Source organism: Homo sapiens, chromosome 3, assembly GCF_000001405.40.
Source record: "Homo sapiens chromosome 3, GRCh38.p14 Primary Assembly".
Classification (NCBI taxonomy): domain Eukaryota; kingdom Metazoa; phylum Chordata; class Mammalia; order Primates; family Hominidae; genus Homo; species Homo sapiens.
In genome coordinates, this window is record NC_000003.12 from 20,296,310 (window position 1) to 20,320,068 (window position 23,759).

The window sequence follows — 23,759 nt, forward strand, 5'->3', positions numbered from 1 at the left end:
GAAGGACTGACCAGCTCCAGGTTAATATTGTTTCTGGAGTTCAGTGAGCATAAATTCTATAGAGCACAATAATTGATGAAAGGTGTTTTAGCATATTGTATATGTGATTGTATTTTCACCAATATCAGCACCATCTATGTAGTTGGCATCTCAGAGTCTCAGAAAGAAATGTTATGCTACAGTTTTTAGTTACTACAAAGTTTTTTGAAAGACCCCACAAAATAATGAGTTACTTTCATTAATTGATGTATTTACTGATTGATAATTTCTAAATTAAAGCTGAGTAAAAATAAAAAACCCCAACAAAGTGATAAGAAACCAATTCTTTATGAAATCATGGTAATAATTACCCTGATTGTGAGCAAACATTGTGCATATATGTTCACAATAGGACATTTTACAGCTCCCTATTTGTTCTGTAGAATATTATTAAAAGTAATAGTTAATCAACAATTTTTTAATGTTAGCATTTGATTAAGAGCAGGAATGATTAGTGCTATTGTTTCATAGAGACTCAGACATATCATTTAGGAAAGCCTAATTTACCTGACTTCATTGATCTTTTCCTTTCTTTTAAAAATTTTAAATGGAATCTCAAGTGAATAAATTAGTAAATTTATCATTTTCTCTACAATACTGTCATAAGGACAGTTTGATAAAATAGCTCATTATAGTCAATGGTATGAAATATGAGTTCCATCAGCATATTTTCATCAAATGCAGCTACAGAAATTAGTTTGCTATTATCAAGGACTGTGGAATGCAAAAATAAAATTAAGCATGCTATTATATTGGTTAAAATTGGGGATTGACCCAAGTGAATTAAAAAAAAAAGTCTTTTAGTGACAAAAATATCAAGAAAACCAAATGAATCATCAAAAATTAATTGACAAGTGGCAATCCTAGTCATATAATGAATATGTTTGAGATAAGTTGTCATCCCCTTCAAAGGTAGCCTTCAGGTCTACCTTTTTAGGCAGCCATGGTTCTAAAATGTAATTTTTTTTTTTTTTTTGAGATAGAGTTTCGCTCTTGTTGCCCAGGCTGGAGTACAATGGCACGATCTCAGCTCACGGCAACCTCTGCATCCCGGGTTCAAGCGCTTCTCCTGCCTCAGCCTCCCGAGTAGCTGGGATAACAGGCATGTGCCACCACACCCGGCTAATTTTTGTACTTTTAGTAGAGACGGGGTTTCTCTGTGTTGGTCAGGCTGGTCTCGAACTCCCAACCTCAGGTGATCCACCCGCCTCTGCCTCCCAAAGTGCTGGGATTACAGGTGTAAGCTACCGCGCCTGGTCTAAAATGTAATTTTAAAATCTTCTTTTGGTAAAGAAACTCAAAGCCTATACATAATAGGATTAGTTATTATTTATAATGGTTGTTTATGTGAATTAAGCAATTGGCAGTACCTATTGCATCTAGATTTTGAGGCTTCTTTCTTAAAGGAGACATTTAAAAAGGGGAGGCAGTAATGGAGAAGTAGTCTTGATTTTGACTGGTACGTACTTGGAATATGGTAAAAGTACATACATCTAGTATGACTGATGATTGCTAACAGCACATTTTATATCCATAAATATCTATGTCAGTTACTTATTGCTACAAAGTAGCAGATTGTCAATCACCTTAGAACTTTGTGGCATACAATAATAAGCATTTATTTAGCTCATGGGAATGTGGGTAGCTCCTGGAAATTGGGTGTTCTTGGCTGGGGTAGCTGGTTATGTTTATAAATTTCACATTCTCCTGGAGAATGAGCTTTCTAGCATGTTCTTATTGCAGCGGTAGAGACACATGAGAAGAAGTGAAAACATGTAACAACTCTTAAGGTCTAAGCTCAGAGATAGCTCACAGTTGTTTTTGAAATATTGGTCAAAGCAAATTATATGACCAAACCCAAAGTCAAGGAGTGGAGAAATACTGTACACTTTGAATGGGACAAAATGCAAAAATCACATGTCAAAATCACAGCATGGATATAGTGAGGGGGTGAAGAACTGGGGCTGGTGATGCAATTTACCACAACATCAATTCCTTTAAGGTAATAGTTTTTTTTAAAAAGCTACTTTATTGAGGTATGATTGATTCACAAAATGTTGTACATATTTTAATCTGTATAACTTGATGAGATTGGAGATAAATATATACCCCTAAAACTATCACCGCAGTCTATGCCATAGACCTCTTCATCACCTCCAAAAGTTTTCACCTGCTGCTTTCTTCCTCTCCTCCCCCTCTTCTTCCTCATCCTTCTTGGAATAACACTTAACATAAAATCTACCCTCTTAACCAGTTTTTAAGTATATAATACGATGTTTTTAAACTATAGGCACTATTGTATGGCAGATCTCTGGGAATTATTCATCTTGTATAATCAAAACTTCATCCCTTTGACTAATATCTCCCTGTTTCTCTCTCCCCCATCCCCTAGAAACCATCATTTCACTCTCTGCTTCTGTGAGTTTGACTGCTTTACAATCGTTATATAGGTGATATTATGTAGTATTTGTTCTTTGTGACTGGTTTATTTCACTTAGCAAAATGCTTCTCCTCCATGTTCACCTATACTGTTACAAATGGCAGGATTTTCATCTTTTTAAAGGCTGAATAATATTTCATTGTATGTATATACTACATTTTATCCATTAATCTGTTGAAGGACTTTTGTTTTGCTTCAATGCCTTGGCTTTTGTGAATATTGTTGCAATGGACATGAAAGTACACTATATCTTCACGATTCTGATTTCAATTCTTTTGGAAATACACTCAGAAGTGGGCTTGCTGGATCATATGATAGTTCTATTTTTAATATCTGAGGAAACTCTGTACTGTTTTCCATAGTGATGTCACCAACATACATTAGCATCAAAAGTATATAATGGTTCCCTTTGCTTCACATCCTTGCCAACGCTTCTTATCTTTTTAATTTTTTTAGTAATAGCCATCATAACAGGCATGAGGTGATATCTCATTGTGGTTTTGGTTTGCATTTTCCTGATGATTAGTGATGTTGAGCATGTTTTCATATACCTGTTGGCCATTAATTTGTATGTCTTCTTTGGAGAAATGTCTATTCAGTTCTTTCGATCACTTTATAATTGGGTTATTTATTTTCATGCTATTGAATTGCAAGACGAATTAATCAGAAAACACATCGAATCAATTCATCATGAAGACTAAGAAGATAAAAGGAGATAAAAAGTTGGTGTGTCTGTCCAGTTTTTTTCCACATACTTGTAGAGTTGTACAGTTGTAACCTGTAATTTAAATTCCTGGTGTATCAAAACTATAAATCAATCAACAGTAGAAACTAGAAAATAAAATATTTTTATAACATTTTGTGAAAAGCTTGACTATTTAGATAGGCTTACAAATAAAATTTTTTTATTATATCAAAAGGAAATTCACAGGCTGTTATTTGATTTAATTTTCCAACTTAGCTCCTCTAACCTGGTCCAAATGTACATGTGACAGATAAACTCTTGCAGAGAATAAATCATAAATAAAAGTGAAAATGAAAACATTTGTAGAGATACTTTGTTATTTAGTGAGCAGGAAACCTGACATCTCATCTGAAATCATGTCATATTTGAGTATAAAAAAGGTTACTCTATTTATTCTATATAAAAGCTAAGAAAGTAATGAGAGGAGAACAGAAGAATGAATCAAAAGAGGGAAAAATAGTAGAGGACCTAAGAGAAGGGGACAGGCAATAGCAAATACAGAGTAAATATTAGAAGAGTCCTGACAATTACAAGGATTTAGGGATTATGTGCCAAAGTTTTCTGATAGCAGTGAAAGGGAAGTTAGTATTAAAAAGTCAGAAGATAGACATAAAAGTCAAAATGTAATTTAGATTTTAGTATTTTGTAACGGCAACTTTGTGTCCTTATAAAAGCACGTCAGGCAGGGGATAGCTCAGTAGACTGGAATATGGGGTATTTTATGAAAATGTAAGCTAAGCATCATTGGACGCTAATGTTTTTAGGTGGGGAGGAGAGGAAGAAAGCAGCAGTTATTATGAAGACACATAAGCTTATACAGTTGAACTGTGAAGAGGCTTTTTGTATGAAGTAAAGTGGCAACGTAAGTCACAACAAAATAGAAGAATGTAGCCTATACAATAGTGTAAAGTTGAATATATATAAGCAACAGAGTGATCATAATATTTGTCTATATCTCAGTATATCGTCTATCTCCCTGGAAAGACAAAAGGCAGAAGTATAAGAATGTTGTGCTCAGTTTAACAGAAATATAAAGGTCTGAGTGTGACTTGAAAATTAAAAACAAAGGGAAATATTGGCAGATCTATAAAATATTGACTGACATGTATTATATGATTTAAAAAACTCAGAAGGAGTTGCTATAAGAATCTTTGTGAAATCAAAGGTCACTGAAGCAGTAGAGTGTTGGGGTTAGTAAAAGCATGAACTTAGAACATGAATAGAACTGGATTTAAATCTTAGGTTTGCTACTTCTTACCTAGCATGAGTGACATTGGGCCAGTAATTCAAATGCTTTGATTCTATTTTAGAGATAACTTCCCTCTAGGAGTTACTCCTGGAGTGAATAACATATTTATTTTTTATTTTATATTTTTTTGAGAAGGAACCTTGCTCTGTTAGCCCAGGCAGAAGTGCAGTGGCATGATCTTGGCTCACTGCAACCTGTGCCTCCTGAGTTCAAGCAATTCTCCTACCTCAGCCTCTTGAGTAGCTGAGATTACAGGTGTCCGCCACCACGCCCGGCTAATTTTTGTATTTTTACGAGAGATGGGGTTTCACCATGTTAACAGGCCAGGCTGGTCTTGAACTCCTGACCTCAGGTGATCTGCCCTCCTTGGCCTCCCAAAGTGCTGGGATTACAGGCGTGAGCCACCACACCTGGCCAAGGTTTCCTTTTAAAGTAATTTTTTAGTAAAGAAGAATCCATTTAATACAATAATAAGAAAAGGGCCGAGCATGGTGGCTCATGCCTATAATCCCAGCACTTTGGGAGGTTGAGGCAGGAGGATCGCTTAAGCTCAGGAGTTTAAGACCAGCCTGGGCAACATAGCAAAACCCTGTCTCTACTTAAAAAAAAAAAAAAAAAAAAAAAAAAAAGAAAAGGAAAATAAAGCTGGGTGTGGCACAGGCACCTGTGGTCCCAGCTACTCCTGAGGCTGAGGCAGGAGGATTGCTAAGCCAGTCCCCTAGTGCCAAAAAGGTTGGGGACCACTGTGCTACTGTATAGCGAATCACCCCCAAACTTAGTGGCTTAAAATGGCAATAAATATTTATTATCTTGCTCTTTCTGTGGGTCAGGAATTCAGAAATAATTTAGTTTGAATCTTCCGGCTTGGAGTCTCTCATGAAGTTTTAGTCAAGATGTTCCCTGTGTCTGCAGTTATCTAAAGCTTGACTGGAGCTGAAGGATACACTTCTGGTCAGGCTTTCCAGAGTGCCTCACTTATTAGGCTGACAAATTGTTGGTATGAGGGCTGTTTCTCTCCATATGGGCTTTCCCACACAGCTGCTTGAGTGTCCTTGTGACATGGCAGCTAACTTCCCCCCAGTGGAGCAATTGAAATAGAAAGAGCCAGGTGAGAGTAATTTTTAAATTTTTTTTTATGACCCAGCCTCAGAAATAACATGACATCACTTCTATCACATTCTATTTACTAGAAGAAAGTCATGAAATCTGGTCCTCATGCAAGTGGTGGAGAATCAAACTTTTATTTTTTTTTTTCAGATGGGGTTTTACTATGTTGCCCAGGCTTGACTCAAACTCCTGGCCTCAAGTGATTCTCCTGTGTTGGTCTCTCAAAGTCCTGGGATTACAGGCATGAGCCACTGTGCTTGGCATAGGCTCCTTTTCAAGAAAGGAGTTTCAATGAAATTACTAACAAATTTTAAATCCACCATGTGTATGAGTAACTGTAACTCATCTTTACCAGTTATTTATATTACCATAGTTGTATCAAAACCGTGCACACCCACACTTTTTGATTAATTCTAATTGGAGCAAGGAATGAATATTTTAAAATTGCTCCCCACTACATGACCACTGGGGTTGACACAGTTACAAGCTGAGTTTTATTACTGTACCCACATAGAGCAATATCCATATTGTGTTTATATACATCAGTGCATAGGAAGAGGCCACCCTTTTAAAATTTACGCAAGTGACAGGTTTATTGGCATCAAGCTTCAATTTAGAGTGCACTGGAGATTTCCAACTGCACTCATCCACCTTCACATGCGAAACTCTCAGAGAATCCATCAAATCCACAGATTTGTCTTTTTTATTTTATACTAAAAATATTGCTGGCATATGACTTGTAGTATATATTCCTGTAAGTTAATAAAATGAACATACCTACATCTAGATATTCGTTCCTGGATTTTGCCTAACTGGCTTCCATTTTGCGTAAATGTTAATGCTTGAATCTTAACCAACTACCTGCTGACCCTGTGCGTTTTCACTTTCGATGTTTTCAATGTTAATTTCACAAGCAAAGTACTCTTTGGAAATAAGTTGCATCTGTTTAATATACAGGGTTGTGGCAAAAAGGCAGAAGAGTTACTTTCCACTTGCTCGAGGGAGCAGGTAGCCAGCCAATATTACACGTCGTCCCACTGGCTGTGCGGGGCCCTGATGACAGGTCCCTATGAGCTTGTTGACAGCAGTTTCCTGCCAAGAAACAGCCCCCTATACCATATGTTTATTTTTGGCTGAGAAAATCCCTCAAGCAGTGAATTCTAACACTCTCGGGTACCTCTAATTATCTGAAGGGATACGGGAAAATTCTCAGTCTAGTTTCTAAAACTAACATCAATTTTAATTCATCTTTATTAAAATTTGTGAAACCAGTAATTGATTTCAGAGAAGAAGGATGATAGAGGGAGTAGCTGTTCAGAAATTGAAGAAAGAGTAGCTGGTCAATTCTAAAACTTGAGAATCAGGGCCTGAGAAGCAGAGAGACAAGTAGTCTTTTTTGAAAGTATTCAGATCTCAGACCTTGCTTGTCTTGGTCTCTGACATGCCTTTTGTGTTATATTCTGGAAAGTGCTAACTTCTCTAACCTGACCAGGAAGTTAGAAATAGTTCTATATGGCCGAGCACAGTGGCTCACACCTGTAATCCCAGCACTTTGGGAGGCTGAGGTGGGTAGATCACGAGGTCAGGAGATCAAGACCATCCTGACCAACACGGTGAAACCTTGTCTCTACTAAAAGTACAGAAAAATTAGCTGGGCCCGGTGGCACGCGCCTATAGTCCCAGCTACTCGGGAGGCTGAGGCAGGAGAATCTATTGAACCTGGGAGGTGGAGGTTGCCGTGAGCCGAGATCGTACCATTGCACTCCAGCCTGGGTGACAGAGAGAGACTCCATCTCAAAAACAAAAACAAAACAAAACAAAACAAAAAAAACAAAAAGAAATAGTTCTATATGGTCACTATTAAAATTTGAGCAATAAACTTTGTTTAATAGCTTTGCTTAATGTTGGTTTATGAATCAGGTATAATGTTGATTGATTTAATTCTGCAGCACAGTGGAAATTACGTTGAAATGTCCTTCTGATTTCATGTGTAAAAAGCGGGCAACTGCATGATAGAATTCAAGCTGAACTCCCTGTCTGTGTACTCACAAGCAAGCACTCTTACTGAGATGTAATATTAAATGTGCCTTACAGTTTTATAAATAGGTAGTGATGGAGGGATTTGATTTAAAAGAAATTTTGATTTTTAAATACATTTAAAAATGTATTTGTTACTATGTATTTCAAATATAAGGAGCTTACTCTCCACCTTTTATTTTATTTTATTTTTGAGATGGAGTCTTGCTGTGTTGCCCAGGCTGGAGTGCAGTGATGCAATCTCAGCTCATTGCAACTTCCACCTCCTGGATTCAAGTGATTCTCCTGCCTCAGCCTCCTGAGTAGCTAGGATTACAGGTGTCCGCAACCATGCCTGGTGAATTTTTGTATTTTTAGTAGATATGGGGCTTTGCCACATTGGCCTGGCTGGTCTGGAACTCCTGACCTCAAGTGATCCACCTGCCTCGGCCTACCAAAGTGCTGGGATTACAGGTGTAAGTGACTGCACCTGGCCTCCACCTTTTATTTATTAGAGACAGGGTCTTGCTGTGTCCTAGGCTGGCACTGAACTCCTGGACTCAAGTGATCCTTCTGCCTCAGTTTCCTGAGTAGGTGGGCTTACAAGTATGTGCCAATGTGCCCAGCTTCCACCTTTATTTATGTCCTAATTTAGATATGAATTTAATTAGATTTGTCCCTGACAGTTGATTTTGTATCTTCTTATTGTCCTTGTTAATGATATTAGAGAGATGATGATCCCCAAGAACATGTGAAATGGAAACATATTTCTTAACCATATTATTTTCTGAGAGCCTTGTGTATTAACATGTCTGATGCTACCTTCTGTTTCTTGAGAGGTTCTAAGAACCACTACCCTCATACTAAAACATGTCTCTTTTAATGCTCTCTGAAATCCCCCCAAATAACTTCTCACTAAAGGATCTCTTATTGTGTCACTGTTTAGGGCATTTAGATATTCAGGCAATGCACTAGAGTTTTTCAGTGTATTTGATTAATCCAGGATTGCCCAGAGATTTAAGGAAACAAGATTTAAAATAGATCTACTTTTAGTGTTTATTAGTCCATTTTCATGCTGCTGATAAAGACTACCCGAGACTGGACAATTTACAAAAGAGAGAGGTTTGACTGGACTCACAGTTCCACGTGTCTGAGAAAGCCTCACAATCATGGCAGAAGGCAAGGAAGAGCCAGTCATGTCTCACATGGATGGCAGCAGGCAAAGAAAGAGAGCTTGTGTAGGGGAATTCCTCTTTATAAAACCATCAGATCTTTTGAGACTTACTCACTATCATGAGAACAGCAGGGAAAGACTTGCCCCCATGATTCAATTACCTCCCACCAGGTCTCTCCTACAACAGCTGGGAATTCAAGTTGAGATTTGGGTGGGGACACAGCCAAACCATATCACAGTGTTACAAAAAAAAATACTATAAATCAGCATCACATTATTTACCTTTAAATGTAGGATGTTGGAAGACCTTAGACCTTCTATATTTCAGAGTTCTTGTACTCTTTTTTCACCATTCAGTGAGAAAAATGTTTGATGGATACTGTGTTGAGTACAATGGGAACTGTTTTATTGAGCAGGCAGCTCTGTCTAGAATCGTCACATTTCAGCCTTTGGATAGAGGCTCATGGACAGTGCTATTCTAGGTTGTAAAACCATATAGATTAGACCACCGTAGGCAGAGAGGATGCACCACATTTTGTTTATCCATTACTGATTGATGTTTTTTCCCCCCAGTTTTGGGCTCTTATTAATAATCCTGTTATTGCTGAGAGAGAAGGAAGAAAGGAACTAGCTAGGCAGATAGTTAGGGCAAAGAGTCCTTGGCAGAATTCCTTCTCTAACAAAGAGCAGCCTGGAAGATGGGGCTGCAAACGTAGATAAGGAGCAAGTTCCAACACAGAGAGGGACCCTCCTGTGTAATCAGCAATCTTCACATCCATTTGGTGGGCCCCAGTAAGCACAGTGGGCCCTAGTGAGCACTTTCCTTTCCTTTTTGGACATTCTCAGATAAGGAAGCTTGCATGAGGCAGGGGTGCCTGCATCTGCACCTGTAAGAGGAACTACTTTTGGCCAGGCATGTCCACCGTGGAGGATTCTGCCCCCTTAACACATGCACAGTAAAAAACATAAGCAACATGAAGTTACTTAGGCCAAGAACCTGCCTGTGCAATAAAAGGTTGGGGTAGGGGCTGCCAGAGACTCTCACCCTATGCAAATGACACACCTAGTTCTAACTGGTTTTTCGTGCCTTATGTAGATGAGATACCCCCTCCCCACTAGCTTGTTTATAAAAACCCTTGTATTTCACTGTGAAATGGCAACCATTTTTTGGGACCCCTCTCTGTGGCAGAGGGCTTTCTCTCTTTCTCTCACTTATTAAACGTCTGCTCTAACCTCACCCTTGGAGTGTCTGCATCCTTGATTTCCTTGGCCACAAGACAAAGAACTTTGGGTGGCACCCCAGACAATGAGATGGCTTCATTGCCATTTGGATAGAAGTCTTTTTTGCCTTTTATTTTCATTCTGAATTTTTACTGTGGCAAATTTCATATATACATAAACCAAAGTAAGCAAAACAATGTAATAAATTCTCCTGAGCCCATGATCCAGGTTTAACAATTATGCATTTATGGCCAATCTTGTTTCTTTTCTACCCCACTCACTTTCCCTACATCAGTATTATTTTCAAACAAATCTCTGACGTAATATCACTCTATTCATAAATATTACAGTACCTGTCTCTAAAAGATAAGCCCCTCTTCTAAAAACATTACTGTAGACCATCAGCATATTGAAAAAATTACACAGATTTTAAAAATTTCCTTATTAGATGTCATCTGTATCCACATTTCCAGTTTTCACATAAATATTATTAAGTTTGATGATTGCTTGAGTTAGTATCCAAATAAGATTCACATACTATAGGTGATTAGGATAAGTATTCTACATCTTTTTAAAATCCATAAGTTCCCCCTTCATCTCTGTCTCTTTCTCAGAATTTATTTGTCAAAGAAACTGGATCATTTATCTCTTAGAGTTTCCTGCAGTTTCACGTTCCCTGACTGCGTTCCTGTGGTGCAGTTTAACATGTTTCCATGTCCCCCGTATTTCCTATGAAATGGTAGTTGGACCTAGAGGTTTGATCAGATTCAAGTTTCATTTAAAAATTTTATATGGTGTGTTGTTTTCCCATCTGCAGGAACATAATGCATGATTTTCTCTTCGTTTTGTGATATTAGCCATCTTTGAACATCATTAATTGATCCTCAGTTCATTAAGAGTTGCAACAGAATGATATTTCAATGCCTCAATAAAGAGAAACTCCTCGCATCTACTATTTGGTTATCAAATGGCAGAGTTAATAAAAGAGAGGAGGATGAATTCTCATTTCTTTTTCTCATCAGTTTTCAAAATAGTAACTTTCTCTAGCATCCACAAAAGGTGACCAGTTCACATCTTTTTAAACATAATGCTCTAGATTTAAATTTAATTATGCTTGATCTAATTCCATTTTAATATTAGACACATATATAATAATTTATGTTTTGATTCAAATCTATTTCTATGTCCTCATAGTGGCTAAGCTTGCCCAGTACAACACAGAGGGACACCAACATCCTCTTCTGTAACCATTGTTTCATGCATCTCCCTTTGCTGGGACAAGGAAAACAATTGTGCAACCAACTGGGTATAGGGTAGAGGAAGTTGGCAGAAAATTCTGATCAAAACTGCTTTCAAAGGGTCATAAGAGAATTTTCTTAGGGTGATGAAACTCTTTTTTTTTTTTTTTGAGACAGGGTCTTGCTCTGTCACCCAGGCTGGAGTGCAGTGGCATGCTCACAGCTCACAGCAGCCTTGACCTCCTAGGGTCAAACAATCCTCCCACCTTAGCCACCCAAGCAGCTGGGCCCATGGGCACATGCTATTATGTCAGGCTAATTTTTCTATTTCTTGTAGAAATGCGGTTTCACAATGTTGCCCAGGCTGGTCTTGAACTCCCTGAGGTCAAGCAGTCTATCTGCTTCACTTCCCAAAGTGCTGGGATTAGACGCGTGAGCCACCATACTCAGCTGAAACTTTCTTACACCTTGGTTTTAGTGTTGTCTGTATTTGTCAAAACTTATAGAACTGTACATTTAAAAAGACGAATTACACCTAAAAGAAAATTATACCTATGTAAATTATACCTAAAAGAAAACCACAATTATTACTTGACTTTAACAATGCATCTAGTGTAATACATATTTTTTCCTATTTTCAATTTATTTGTAATGCTTAATTAAAAATTATTTTTAAAATGTTTGAATTTGAAAAAATACATTAATAACTTTAACTTGATTATGATGACTTTATGACTTCAGGTAAATTGCTTTTAAAAAACATATAATGTGAAAATTTAAGTTAGGCCGGGCACTGTGGCTCACGCCTATAATCCTAGCACTCTGGGAGGCCGAGGTGGGTGGATCACTTGAGGTCAGGAGTTCAAGACCAGCCTGGCCAACATGACAAAACCCTGTCTCTACTAAAAATACAAAAATTAGCTGGGTGCGGTGGCAAGTGCCTATAATGCCAGTTACTCAGGAGGCTGAGGCAGGAGAATCACTTAAACCCTGGAGGTGGAGGTTGCAGTGAGGCAAGATCACGCCACTGCATTCCAGCCTGGGTGACAGAACAAGACTCCATCTCAAAATTAAAAAAAAAAAGAAAAAAAAATTAAGTTAGCTAGGATTCAGTGGTTTCCAAATTTTGATGCACATTAGAATCAGTCAAGAACTTTTAAAATCTTTCTTCCTGGAATGTTTGGGAGTGGAAACCTGGCATTAGGATTTAAAAATGTTTCCCTGATGCTTCCCTGGTGATTCTAGGGAAATAGTCAAGGTTGAGAACTATTGCTATAGGGTCTTTTCTTGTTTTCAATTTTGGCTGTATGTTGGAATCACCTAAGGACTAAGGGGCCTTTAAAAGCTATTGATATATGGGCTGACCCTCCCCAAATTAGGATTTGTGCTGCCTGGGTTGGGGGCCTGAGTGCTGAGAGTTTAAAAAGCTCCCCAGGTATTTCTGCTATGCAACCAAAGTTGGGAACTACTGGTCTATACAGTGTACCTTCTAAAGCTATGTAGAATTTGCTGCTCCCCTGCCACTTCCATTGGTCCCCAGACTAATAGCATCAGTGTTACCTGGAAATATATTCTCAAATCTCACCCCAGACTTACTGAATGAAAAACTCAGAAGGTGGGGCCGAGAAATATTTGTGTTTCAAGCTCTCCACCTTCATCTGATATACAGTACAGTTTGAGAAGCACTGCTTGGGGAGATTTGGTGGCCATTTTTTAGTTATTGATGGCAGAATTGGACTCTCACTGCTAGAACCTGAGGGAGGCTCCTGTGTGGATTTGGCCATTCTAGCATCTGAAACCCAGGTCAAAGATACTGGAGAATTATTTTAATATTGTTTTGACATATTTGATTGCTCCTGTGCTGAAGTGGCATGAATGTTGTGGAGCTCTAAGAATGGCCATCCCATTCATGTAGAGTTATTTTAACAAACCAGGGAAAATGCAAACAATAGTATCTTTTAGATGCACTCAATTACACTGCATTGCTATTAATATGGCCCAGTTCTCTGTGATTCTGTTTTAGAATCTGCAGGTCTTTCTTTGTTAGATCTCCTTTGATTTTGTTTTTTTTTTTTTTTAAAGTGAAAGCTCATCTTGAAAGAGAACCACTTTTATAATAGAAAGTCCAGAGACTTCAGTGATTCTTTATCACAGTGTCCTCTCTTTTAGTATTGCTCAGATTTTAGGTTTTGTTGTGACAAGACTTCATAAAATGTTTAAAAAGATAATTTTCTTCAACTGCATTTTATACTGATTTAGAAAGACCTAAACACGTGCATCTTAGAAAACAGTGCTATATGAAGGATGTTTTTTTCTTCATATAGGCTGGATAAGACATGTATCCAATCACTTAAAGTCTATGGTACAGGGTGGCAGTGGAAACAGATAACTTTGAAATGGAGCTATCTTATGGTTTGTTGTAAACAGGCATAAAAAGTAAAATCGACTAAAAACTCTTAATAAATAAAACCCGAAGTGAAGATAAAAAATTTTAGTATCTCCAGTAATATCTGACACTTGAATTCTTTCTCCAACAATGGAAGACCTGCAAATTCTAAACAGAATCATACTTTACCTCTTTCTCTCCACTCAAATATTTTAATATTTCAAATATCTAAATAGAAGGATGAAGCAGTAAAACATTTTTCAAAGTAGTACCAGCCACCATGCTGTTTGCCACCTAAATATTTGAACTTGAGGTTTGAATTGCCCTAACATAATCTTATGCTTTTTTTTTTTTTGCATTTCATCTCAATCCAATCTGCTTGTTTGTAGATCAATAACAATAATTTGGGAATAATGATTTAAATAAGAAACTTCAGTGAATGAGCTGATGATTACAAGGAGATTAAGATTTTGAACTGTTACTATGAAACTTTTAAAAAAGATCCTGAAAGGTTAATGTGTAAAATTTAAATCCCCATGTCCTAAATAGTTTAATCTGAATATTACCTTTAGGTAAATAGGGGAAATAACAATTAGACTACTTTGTTAGAATAATTTGGGTTTGGGATGGCAGCTGGGGTTAAGAAATAGAATTGAATATTTAAAAAAGTTGGTGGTAGTAGAACTGAATTTAGGCTTGGTGTCTATGAGTCAGAAGAAAATCTTTGTTGGTGAAAGTTTCTATTCATTTCTTACACTGAAAGGATATTTTCCAAACTAAATTGTGGGCTGCAGTTGTCATAGAAACTAATAAGCACTTTGTAGCAACTTCGCAATACCTTCTCTGTAAGTGAGGCTCTAAGATAAGCTGCGCCAGCTGCAACTTTTGGAGGGCCTATGGGAGAATTCTCCAGGGTGGCTCTGGGCTTTGACACAGTGATGGGAATGTGGCTGTGTGAACAGCAAGTACAGGATTAGCTAAGTCTCTTGGGATGTGCACAACTAAGCAGCCTCATTCTGTAAACATGGAAACCAGTTTAAAAAGAACCAAAGGGATGCGTGTTCTCTTGTGAGAACTAAAATAAGGCCACTTACAGTGTTTGTATTGGGTGATACAGATTTTTGCTTAAATTTAACTTTAGACTTAACTTTTGCTGACTGACATGCTGACTTTGACCAAAGAATTTGGATTTTCCCGCTTTCTTTGTTGAGATATGGAAATTTATAGGTATTGCAAAGAAGGAAAAGGGTATGTGCACACATAAGGTGTGTATGGATATGTAGGTAGATGGAATATGCAGAGGGCTTGAAAATAAAGTACAAAAAAAAGAAGAGAATAACGGAAGAACTTGAGAATTATGACTTTAATCTCTTAGAATTTAATGGAAAGCTAAATTTAGCTAAACAGATATATGTTTATGGAAAACTGTGTTTATTTCACACGATTCCACCCGTTTTCAGATTCTTTAATTTCAACTTTTAATCTCTGTCTTTCATGAAGATAAAGTCTGTGCCTTTTAAATTTTTTGTGCCCATATGTTTATCAGATAATATTACGGCATATGAAAAGACTCAGCTACCAAATGCATGGAGTTTCGCTTGCAGAAAGAAAGCAGTGTTTTTTGGTGGGCTATTTTGTATTTTTACTTCAGAAAGAGTCTATATTGTATCTTTTGAACTTCCTAAAACCAAAAACTGCATTTCTGCCCTATTTCCTGGTGAGATAATAGATTACATTTACAAGGCTGGGGCTAGTTCCTTGCAAACATTTCTAACATTTTTAGGTCCTAGTTTTTCATGATCAGTGTGTCCCTTTTTATTATGCCACTAGTTTTGTGTCAGTAACGCATAAACCAAAGCCAAAAAGAAAAAATAACAACAACAAACTTCTATGAAATAAACTCCTGGGCCAGGTGCGGTGGCTCACGCCTGTAACCCAGCACTTTGGGAGGCCGAGGCGGGCGGATCACGAGGTCAGGAGATTGAGACCATCTTGGCTAACACGGTGAAACCCCGTCTCTACTAAAAATACAAAAAATTCGCCGGGCGCAGTGGCGGGCGCCTGTAGTCCCAGCTACTCGGGAGGCTGAGGCAGGAGACTGGCGTGAACTCGGGAGGCGGAGCTTGCAGTGAGTCGAGATAGCGCCACTGCAGTCCGGCCTGGGCGAAAGTGCGAGACTCCGTCTCCAAAAAAAAAAAAAAAAAAAAAAGAATGTCGACTCCTGAATTGTGTTGGAAAACAGGAGACATGTCTTTGCATCACGTATTTCAGCCTGTGAAAAACACTTGGCTTTTTTCCATTTTTGGCTTTTCACCTGGACTATTACATATGTACTACATATCTATTGATGAATAACAAACAAGTTACCCTGGAACTTAGCTTAAAACAATAAACATTTCTCATCTCACACAGGAAGTGACTTAGCTGGGTGGTTCTGACTTGGTCTCTCATAAGGTTGCTGTCAAGTTGTCTGCTGGGCTGAAGGACATTCTGGGACTAACGGATCTGCTTCTGTGTGGATGACAGGTTAGTGCTGGTTTTGGAAAGGAGGCCTCAGTCCTTGCCATGGGGACTCTCCATAGGGCTGATAGAGTGTCCTCATAACATGGCAGCTGGCTGCCCCCCAGAGCGAGTGATCCAGGAGAGAGCAAAGTAAAACCCACAATGTTCATGACCTAATGTAGGAAGTCACACAGTCATTTTCACAACATTCTCTGGTTACACAGATCAGACACATTTATTATATGACAAAAGGTGTGAATGTCAGGAGATGGGGATTGTTAAGAGCCATCATGGAGGCTGGTTACCACCACCACATAAATGTCCAAAAGTCATGAAGGAAAATGAGACTAGGGCTGTGGGTCTGGAATCTTCCAAAAGACTATAAAAGTAGATTTTCTCTATTTTAGGAAACATGCAATCTAATTATTTTAAGTATCATGTTTAGAATTTTGCACTCTTCTCTTGGCTTAAAAAAGAGAAGGGGATTGAGGACAGGTCTATAATTTTTAGGTCAAATCACATAAGGGTCAGAAAGGAACTAACACTCTACCACTGGTCAGGCACTTTACATGAATTCTGTCACACCTCACAACAGCCCTCGGAGGTGAGTGGTATTAGTCCCACTTGCAGATTCAAAAATTATGTTCCAGAGAAGTTTAGTAATTTTCTAATCGCCACACAGGTACTACGTAGTTGAGCCCTCATTCAAATCCTGGTGGCTTTGGTGCTAAAGTTTGTGAGTTTCTTATTACATCATACAGTAATGGGCAGTACACTCCAGGTGGGTGGGCGCCAGTGCCCGCCACCTTCACTGGTGAATACAGAGCACCTTGCATGCACATAATAGGCAACTTATAGATATTTGTTGAATATGTGAAATTAATTAATGTCTGTATATACTGAAATTACTACCTGAGATATTTATTTTGATCCCCAGAGTTGGTCTTTTAGATAAACTCAAGACTTCAGACTTAGTGGAATTATATTGCAGCACATTTGGAAAAGCAATCTGCTTAAAACTAGATGAAATGGCATGTACAAATGTGGCTAGTAGTGTCTGACAAATATTAGGTGCTCAAAGACTATTTTACTCTCCACTTTGCAATTGTGGAAATTTTGTTCAAGTCATTGCATAATTAAGAAAACTTACAAATTTTCAAAAATAATGAAAAAAAGAGAAACATCCTACTTTTCCATAAAAAGGAAAAATATGGATTCTGAAGACAGCTAACTTTGTCTGCAAAGAGCTGATTGATAAATGAGTGATTTAGCTGCTCCTAGAAAACAGTGAGCATTTGGTCTACTGGCGAGCCAACCTTGTCCTGAATTGCCTGTTTTGTTTTCCCTAACAACTTTTCTATATTTATCTCCTCCATCCTGCTTCTTCCCCCGGTTTAGCAATGTGATTTATGATGGGGTGTTTAGGAATCCCCCAAGGTGGCTTGGCCACTAGAGGGGCTTGAGACTAAAGGTCAGCAACATGGACAGTCCCAAGCCCAAATAAAAACTACGGACCAAGGCTTAGGTGAGTTCCCTCATTGGCAATGCTTCATGCATATTGTCACAGATAGTTGCCAAGAGAATGTGGTGTTGCCCTTGACTCCACTGCAAGGCTACAACTGGAGAGTCCGTGAGTGGGACTTGCCTGGATTCTTCTCCATGTGTCTCTTCTCTTGGTTGATTTTAATCTGCATCTTTTAACTCTAATAAAATACAACCTTAGTATAACAGCTTTCAGTGAGTCTGGTACGTCCTTCTAGTGAATTATTGAATCTGAGGGTTGTTTTGGGAACCCTGAACTTGTGGTTGGTGTCAGAAGTGAGGGTGGTCTTGGCGACTTCCCTAACCCCTGCAACTGATCATCCAATTGCACTTTTAAGAAAACCTGAACACCTTACAGTGGCCTTTGGGATCCAAAGCAGTAGTCTTTATCCACCTGTCTGACGTTATTTTGTACCACATTCATTCTCCCTCATTACCTCCGATCCCATTGTTCCTCCGTTTGGTTTTCAAACATGTCCGCAAGTGTCTTGGTACGTAGTTTCTTCTGTTGCATCTCTCTGGCTTCAGATATTTACGGGACTGATTGTTTTATTAAGGTATTAATTAAAATTATCACTTCTTCCAGTAAGTCCCATAGAAGGCAAAATCCTTGACTATTTTGTTCATTGTTGTGTCCAAGTGCTTAGAACAGCCACTAGCATGCATTGGGCATTCATTAAATATTTGTTAAAAGAGTCACAAAATGCATTTCCTTTTGAAAAAGCAGAGTAAATAAGCTGTCAGGTCAAGAAACTATTAGAAGCCATAGTGTATTTTATATTAAAAGATGTAAACAAACCACCTCTCAATATACTTGGACTTAAGCATAGCTGGTAGAGAATTGATAAATGAATCAATTTTCACTTGGTGGCTTACCTTAAGAGTTTCTCTAGCATTTTAATTAATGAGTTGGTAGAAAGATATGTACATCAAATTTTTAGATAAAAGAAAACAACACTTGAAAGGGTCAGAACAGGTAGAACAAAGGAACAGAGACTATTAAACATAAAATTGAATTAGGATAAATTTAAATTATCACATTCAATTTAAAAAATAAAGTTGGCTGGGGGCGGTGGCTCACACCTGTAATCCCAGTACTTTGAGAGGCCAAGGTGGGTGGATCACCTGAGGTCAGGAGTTCAAGACCAGCCTGGCCAACATCATGAAACCCCGTCTCTACTAAAAATACAAAAAATTAGCCGCGCATGGTGGCGGGCGCCTGTAGTCCCAGCTACGTGGGAGGCTGAGGCAGGAGAATCTCTTGAACTCGAGAGGTGGAGGTTGCAGTGAGCCGAGATTGCACAATTGCACTCCAACCTGGGTGACAAGAGAGAAACTGCATCTCAAAAAATAATAACAATAATAAAATAATAAAAAAATAAAGTTGAGGAAAAATCTTATAAGTCCCAATTCTGTAAAAATGGCTAAGGAAACTGGAGTTATTAAATTTAAAAAAGAGAAGATTTAGGTAGATACGATAATTTATATTTAAAAGCTATCAAGTGGAAGAGAGATTGGATTTATTTTGTGTAATTCTACAGATACTAATAAAACAAAGACTTGGAACTTTTGAGGAAAGATAGACTTTGATAAGGAAGAATATTCTGGCAGAGCTGTTCACAGTAAAATGGGGAGTGTGAGAAGGTACTGACCTATTTTGTTGCCATATAATGCATTTAAACCTTATCTAGGTAACCATTTGCTAGGTATACTGATGGAAAGATGAACTCCATGCTTGTTTTTTTTTTTGAGCCTTGCTCTGTCGCCCAGGCTGGAGTGCAGTGGCTCCATCTCGGCTCACTGCAAGCTCTGCCTCTCGGTTTCACGCCATTCTCCTGCCTCAGCCTCCCGTGTAGCTGGGACTACAGGCGCCCGCCACCACGTCCGGCTAATTTTTTTGTATTTTACTAGAGACGGGGTTTCACTGTGTTAGCCAGGATGGTCTCGATCTCCTGACCTTGTGATCTGCCCACTTTGGCCTCCTAAAGCGCTGGGATTACAGGCGTGAGCCACGGCACCCGGCCGAACTCCATGCTTTTTAAAGACCTTTACAGGTCTCTGAGTTCTTGTAGTTTAGGAAATCTAGGGACCATTTTCCAAGATCTTAGGGAATCCATGGATCAGATCCTTAAGACAAGATGATATGTCAAAGTCAATAATGGCAGATTCCTCAAAGGATAAATACTCTGTCCACAAATTCTTTGACATTCCTCTCAAAATAGAGGCCAGCCTTAGGGACTCATGTCTAACAGGTGGAATGCAGCGTGCTCCATGATTTGTGAGGCTAGAGAAGGTTAGAGAAGGTGAAATAGCTTTCATCTGACTTTTTCTTGGAACACTCTCCTTTGGAACCCAGCCTGTGTTCATGTCCAGAATTATATTTACTGAGTGACTTTGCCTAAGGCATTTAATTCTCTCAAATTTAGCAGTCACATGGCAAGATCACATGTTGGTATTTCCAGCCACGTCTCCAGCTAAGGTCTCAGCTGAGAGCCAGCATCAACTGCCTGGCATGTGAATGAGTAAGTGAGCCTTTAAATGGTTCTATTATCCAGCCTTTGAGCCACTCCAGCTGGGGCCATTTGGAGCAGAGACAAGATGGCACTATCAAGCCCTGCCAAAATTGCAGGATTGTTCTGTGTTTTAACCATTTTACCTTAGGTGAGGTATGGTGAGGCCAGGCAGAGATCAAGAAAGAGAAGCTGGAAAGAGTTTTACAATTTTGTTACATTCATTGTTCCCTGAGAACACAGTATGCCATGCAGGGCCACTCAGCAGCAGAAGCACTGGGATTGGTGGTGCACAGAGAGAGAGGGGAACTCTGGGAAAGTGCTTTTATTGCACTGTGGGGTTTCTGTGGGAGAAAAAAAGGTGAGATAGGGCAAGTAGGCTTTGGATAGGCCAGTTGAATATTAGGAATAAGTGGGCTGATTGAATTGAGGAATCAGGGGCCTCTGAGGCATAAAGACTGTCCTCAGTTTTCTGGTATGTGGTTCTGAGGTGGTTAGGATGGGTGTACAGTGGCCCAGAACGAGAGAGCCTAATAAGGGAGATGCTTGAAGATGGATATAATTGACTGCTCAAGAAGGGGAACTGACCAGCCTGTAGCCTGAGCCTCAAAACTGGGCTAAGACAGCATTTATAAATCTATAATGCAGTGAGCAAAATAAATATTGGCATCATTTTAAGCCATCACTTTGAGTAGTGTATTATGTATCAATAGATAATTGGAGCTTTCTGACTGTTGGTAGTTGTAGAAACTCACAAGATGAAGAGTCTGTTGTGCTCTTCTAGACATAGAGAGAATGTAATATCCCTGTCAGCTTCTAGGACCCTTCTGGGTCCCTGAGTTAGAGTTCTTCCCTGGATATGATTTACTAAGTCATCACATGGGCCCTAAAGCCTGGCCCAAACTGCGGCTCTTGTGAAGCCCCGAGGATGGGCTTTCTGTAGGTCTTCATGGGACAGCAGTGAGAGAGGAGCTTCCTGGATGTCAGAGAAAGAAGGTCTGTCTTAGCTCACTCTCAAGAGTAAAGGTTTCTGTCTTAGTTTGGGTTCACCTCAATGTAAAGCTTGAGAAATGAATTTGGGTGCTTATAATTTATTTGGGGAGGATCCCAGAAAGCAGTAGTGAGGGTATGAGAAGAGTTAGACAAGGATGGAGGAAAACCCAATGTAAGGGAGTGAAACAAAGACTTGATTCTCCTGGGGTCTTCTGAGAAGCATACTTTGCAGAAGCATCCACCTGTAGGATACGAGTCAGAGACATTTATCTGGCCCCCCTCATTTCCCCGTAGGTTGAAGGCTATCTCTGAGAGCAACCTTTGAACTATGCTTGTCCTTGGTCTGAGCAGGCTTCTATGGCATTGCATCAGAAAAGGCCTTTTGGCAGAAAGCAGAAAGATGGGTGACATGCCCTTGATGCCCTCAACCTGAGGGTAGTCTGAGCTCATGTGGATTTTTGCTAAGGCTGAAATTCAAGGTGTCCAGGGTGATGTGCTATGAAACACCGAGGTATCTGCCACAAAGTCAGGATAGGAAAATTTACTAAAATTGGAGTTAAAGGTCTGAGTTCCAGACCATAATTATACTAAGCAACCATGGCCAAGGCACTTAGCTTGCAGATTTAATTCTCTCATATATAAAATGAGGATAACATTATTAGGTGACATTTTTGTGGAAGATACAAAGCCAGGGACAGTGAGTCACAAGGAGAGGTGAACTGGCTGGCTGTCAAGGGGCCTCCGGAGGAGGTGTTACCATGGGGCATTTGCCATAACCTATGGCGACTAGGGTTTTCTGTATTCTCAGAGTGGCATCTTCTTTCAAGACAAGGCTTGTAACCAAATTTGTAAAGATTGACCTATAAATCAGCATAAAAGTTTATTACTTTAGAATGATAAATGTGAAAGTCACTGAGCATGAACAGTGCTATTCTTTGGCTAGGCCATACTGTCTTTGAAGGCAAGGAATTTTGGAAGTTCAAAGTCAGAAAGTTATTAAGTGAGAATAGGATCCAAATAAAGATAATTAGTTATGTGGTTGAATTTTGGAGCACCAGGGTAAGGGTAGCCTGATGTATCGTTTTCTATTACAGGAATATTCCTCTCCCTTGAATAGGCATCAGCTTCTCTGACTTGTCCAGTGATTTTTTTTATAAAGTAATTATTTATTATAAAGTCATTATAATGACTGAGGTATTGGCAAATATCTTCAAACTTGTCTTATGCGTGTCTGGGATTCAACTGACTTATAAATCAACTTTGCATGTCTCTATCACTATGCATTGTATTGATTTTGCAGTGCAACTCTCAGAGGGAAAGGGTTTTTTTTCTTTTTTCTCTTTTTTTTTTTTAACCAAACTCTTCAGGGGACAACTCATCCACTATACTGCCTGACAGGGTTATTGTAGAGATTAAAGGACATTGTTAAACTGATAAATACTGTGAGTTACTCTTGACATTATTAGATCATGGACTCCAGTAGGCAGTAATGGGCTCTGGTAAGTAGAAGAAAAGAGTTTTATAACCAATGAAATAGAAAAGTATTCTTAAACATTTTTTTTCATTGAAGAGTTAAAGGACTTTTGTAATCATGAATAAAAGAGGTTGTGTTATTTTTTCATTAGCCGAATACTGCACTTAAAACTAGACTACTGTTGATCAAATTATAAACTGATATCCAAAGCACTGTGACGGATTTTATTAGGAATTGTCAAATACAGTGAAGGGGGAAACGACATGTATAAGTCTGGGTTTATGGAACATAAAATATAATTTTTAACCTATTGGAGATAGACTAATTTTTAAAAGCTCAGTGTAAGAGGAACATTACTAACCTGGAAACTGGGAGACTAGAGCACTTGCCTTGTTCTGCTGACTAAAGAGCTGTATGACTTTGGCCAATTGTCTCATGGGAACTCAAGTTTTCTCAACAGTAAAAAGAGGACTAGTTTAGCTAATTCTATGTGCATTTTAGCTCTAAAACTTTCTGAAACAAGTAAAGATTCTTGCGGGTAGGAGCAATAGGAGTCAGATAACTTTAAAAAAGTGTGAATATTTTAGAGGAAAGTAAGAGATGGGAAGAGCTTCAATTGTTGTAAAAGGGAAATTGCTAACCTGTATTCCAGAAAGTTGCAGTCTAACATTTTCAATTTTCTGACACTAAAATACAGAGATAATACTTGAAGAAAAGTTCATAGGAAGTCCCTAATTATGGTGACCAGCCATCCAAGTTTGCCTGGCACTAAGAAATTTCTCAGAAAGCAGGACTTCCTCTATTAAATTGGGGAAAGTCCTGAGCAAAACAGGATGAATCAGTTTCTTCCTTACTCCTAACATGCAGTCTGTGTTATTTCAGTATAGCTTCCAAACTGCCCCCTATGATGATGGCAGCCAAGTGGTAAGAAAAGTTGCTACTAATAAACTTTAAACCCTACAAATGGTGCTTCTGAAAGGCATATAATACTTAGGTGATGAATAGAGTTTTAAAGTCACAAGCTGGGGAATGTGCATAAAGGAAAGCAGACTAAGAGACAAGAGGCTAGAAACAAGCTTTTTTCCCAGTGTTCTGTATCCAGTAATTTGTTCATTCATATCTT

At 38.7% G+C, this 23,759-nt stretch overlaps 3 annotated features.

Annotated features, from left to right (window-relative positions):
* Positions 8,774–8,974: a silencer, noted in NCBI's record as "peak4564 fragment used in MPRA reporter construct". NCBI's record gives its function as "represses an SCP1 promoter by STARR-seq MPRAs in K562 erythroleukemia cells {active_cell/tissue: K562}" and the evidence as "EXISTENCE:reporter gene assay evidence [ECO:0000049][PMID:32103011]".
* Positions 15,204–15,705: an enhancer, noted in NCBI's record as "H3K4me1 hESC enhancer chr3:20353005-20353506 (GRCh37/hg19 assembly coordinates)". NCBI's record gives its function as "activates a minimal SCP1, AML or CMV promoter by ChIP-STARR-seq in naive H9 embryonic stem cells {active_cell/tissue: H9 hESC(naive)}" and the evidence as "EXISTENCE:reporter gene assay evidence [ECO:0000049][PMID:30033119]".
* Positions 17,603–17,777: a silencer, noted in NCBI's record as "fragment chr3:20355404-20355578 (GRCh37/hg19 assembly coordinates)". NCBI's record gives its function as "represses an EF-1alpha promoter that drives an FKBP-Casp9 reporter gene in an ReSE screen in phorbol 12-myristate 13-acetate-treated (for megakaryocytic differentiation) K562 erythroleukemia cells {active_cell/tissue: K562(+PMA)}" and the evidence as "EXISTENCE:reporter gene assay evidence [ECO:0000049][PMID:32094911]".